The 3,480-nt window shown below is 46.1% G+C and overlaps 1 annotated feature.

The window, feature by feature from the left end:
• Positions 1,127 to 1,626: an enhancer, noted in NCBI's record as "H3K27ac hESC enhancer chr2:219039587-219040086 (GRCh37/hg19 assembly coordinates)". NCBI's record gives its function as "activates a minimal SCP1, AML or CMV promoter by ChIP-STARR-seq in primed H9 embryonic stem cells {active_cell/tissue: H9 hESC(primed)}" and the evidence as "EXISTENCE:reporter gene assay evidence [ECO:0000049][PMID:30033119]".

The raw sequence follows: 3,480 nt of genomic DNA, 5'->3' as shown, positions 1-3,480 counted from the left end.
TTTCTTTACTATTCCTTTACACCCGTCATCCCAGCCTCTCTTTGCTTTCACTTAGACTGACCCTGACACCCATTAGGCTCAGCAAATTACCTGGGCTTCACTGCTGCAAGGCTTCACAGACAGCCCCCATTACTTCAGTCAAGCCCAAATTTCATCCTCATCTGTTACCTATCTCGGCATAATTCTCATAAAAACACACGTGCTCTCTCTGCTGATCGTGTCTGATTAATCTTCCAAACCTCAATCCCTTAGAAAACAACAACTCCTTTCCTTCCTAGGCATGGTTAGTGGGGTCAGAATTCTTACACAAGAGCCAGGACCGCACCCTGTAGCCTTTCTGTCCAAACAACTTGACCTTACTGTTTTAGCCTAGCCCTCATGTCTGCGTGCAGCGGCTGCCGCTGCTTCAATACTTTTAGAGGCCCTAAAAATCACAAACTGTGCTCAACTCATTCTCTACATTTCTTATAACTTCCAAAATCTATTTTCTTCCTCATACCTGACGCATATACTTTCTGCTCCCCAGCTCCTTCAGCTGTATTCACTCTTTGTTAAGTCCCACAATTACCATTGTTCCTGGCCCGGACTTCAATCTGGCCTCCCACATTATTCCTGATACCACACCTGACCCCCATGACTGTATCTCTCTGATCCACCTGACATTCACCCCATTTCCCCATATTTCCTTCTTTCCTGTTCCTCACCCTGATCACACTTGATTTATTGATGGCAATTCCACCAGGCCTAATTGCCACACACCAGCAAAGGCAGGCTATGCTATAGCACAAGCCACTAGCCCGCCTCTTAGAACCTCTCATTTCCTTTCCATCATGGAAATCTATCCTCAAGGAAATAACTTCTCAGTGTTCCATCTGCTATTCTACTACGCCTCAGGGATTATTCAGGCCCCCTCCCTTCCCTACACATCAAGCTTGAAGATTTGCCCCCACCCAGGACTGGCAAATTAGCTTTACTCAACATGCCCCGAGTCAGATAACTAAAATACCTCTTAGTCTAAGTAGACACTTTCACTAGATAAGTAGAGGCCTTTCCTACAGGGTCTGAGAAGGCCACACAGTCATTTCTTCCCTTCTGTCAGACATAATTCCTCAGTTTAGCCTTCCCACCTCTATACAGTCTGATAACAGACCAGCCTTTATTAGTCAAATCAGCCAAGCAGTTTTTCAGGCTCTTAGTATTCAGTGAAACCTTTATATCCCTTACGGTCCTCTGTCTTCAAGAAAAGTAGAACGGACTAAAGGTCTTTTAAAAACACACCTCACCAAGCTCAGCCACCAACTTAAAAAGGACTGGACAATACTTTTACCACTTTCCCTTCTCAGAAGTCAGGCCTGTCCTCAGAATGCTACAAGGTACAGCCCATTTAAGCTCCTGTATAGAAGCTCCTTTTTATTAGGCCCCAGTCTCATTCCAGACACCAGACCAACTTAGACTGTGCCCCAAAAAAACTTGTCAACCATACTATCTTCTGTCTACTCATACTCCTATCCACCATTCTCAACTACTCATACATGCCCTGCTCTTGTTTACACTGCCAGTTTACACTGTTTCTCCAAGCCATCACAGCTGATATCTCCTCATGCTATCCCCAAACTGCCACTCTTAACTCTTGAAGTAAATAAATAATCTTTGCTGGCAGGACTATGCTGAATCTCCTTAGGCAGTCTTTAATCAGATGTCCTAGGTCCTCCCAATTCTTAGACCTTTTATACCTGTTTTTCTCCTTCTCTTATTCCATCTAGTTTTTCAATTCATACAAAACCGTATCCAGGCCACCACCAATAATTCTAAATGACAAATGTTTCTTCTAACAACCCCACAATATCAACCGTTACCACAAAATCTTCCTTCAGCTTAATCTCTCCCACTCTAGGTTCCCACGCCGCCCCTAATCCCGCTTGAAGCAGCCCTGAGAAACATCGCCCACTCTCTCTCCATACAACCCCCCAAACATTTTCGCCACCCCAAGACTTTAACACTATTTTGTTTTATTTTCCTTATTAATATAAGAAGGCAGGAATGTCAGGCCTCTGAGCCCAAGCCAAGCCATCTTATCCCCTGTGACTTGCATGTATACATCCAGATGGCCCGAAGTAACTGAAGATCCACAAAAGAAGTAAAAATAGCCTTAACTGATGACATTCCACCATTGTGATTTGTTTCTGCCCCACCCTAACTGATCAATGTAATTTGTAATCTCCCCCACCCTTAAGATGGTTCTTTGTAATTCTCCCCACCCTTGAGAATGTACTTTGTGAGATCCACCCCTGCCCGCAAAACATTGCTCTTAACTTCACAGCCTATCCCAAAACCTATAAGAACTAATGATAATCCACCACCCTTTGCTGACTCTCTTTTCGGACTCAGCCCACCTGCACCCAGGTGAAATAAACAGCTTTATTGCTCACACAAAACCTGTTTGTTGGTCTCTTCACACGGACGGGCATGAAAGCGAGGACTACGGTGGTCTTGAGGCTGGGGAGCGGGTAGCTGAGACCTCATCCCTCAAGGCAACAGAGGTGGGACAGCATGTGAACTGAGGCTCCCAGTATCTGTGCATGACCCAGTGGACTTCCCATGTTTTTTTCCTAACTTGTAATTAAAAAAAAAAACTTTTTTTTTTGAGACGAAGTCTTGCTCTGTCGCCCAAGCTGGAGGGCAGTGGCACGATCTCAGCTCACTGCAACCTCTGCCTCCCAGGTTCAAGCAATTCTCCTGCCTCAGCCTCCCGCATAGCTGGGATGACAGGTGCGCGCCACCATGCCCAGCTAGTTTTTGTATTTTTAGTAGAGACAGGGTTTCACTATGTTGGCCAGGCTGGTCTTGAACTTCTGACCTCGTGATCCACCTGCCTCGGCCTTCCAAAGTGCTGGGATTACAGGCCTGAGCCATCGTGCCCGGCACCCCCAAAAATTTTTTTTTTGTCAAGATGGGGATCTTGCTATGTTGCCCAGGCTGATTTCAAACTCCTGAGCTCAAGTGATCCTCTAGTCTTGACCTCCCAAAGTGCTGGGATTACAGCCATGAGTCACTGTGCCTGGCTGACTTCACTTATAAAACACACATTCCAAGATAAAATTATTAAGAATTATAAGACAGCGACTGTAGAATATCAGACGCTAAGGTGGGGCTTTTCTGAGCCCAGGTCCCAGGCACCTGCAGAGGTCACACACCCCTCCTTGTGTCACACACTTTGCTGGGCACCAGGGATGCAAACTAGAATCCTTTACAGTTCTGGCCTTCAGGAGGGGCCAGGAGAGAAGGCAGGGGAGCTTTATGAATCATGACCAGGTGCCAGGCTTTGTGCCTGAGTCCTGCCTACTCATAGTCCAGTGTGAGACAAAGACTCCTAGAAATAAGCATAAAACAGTCTGAGAAAACAGCAGCAGTGGAGAACTAAGTGGTGTGGGAGCCCAGAGGCAAAAAAGCCTGCAGGTTTCAGGGCTGAGGAGGGAGGAG

Source organism: Homo sapiens, chromosome 2 (genome assembly GCF_000001405.40).
Source record: "Homo sapiens chromosome 2, GRCh38.p14 Primary Assembly".
NCBI lineage: Eukaryota > Metazoa > Chordata > Mammalia > Primates > Hominidae > Homo > Homo sapiens.
Note: the sequence above shows the minus strand (reverse complement) of the source record. Positions and strands in the feature narration are given on the sequence as shown.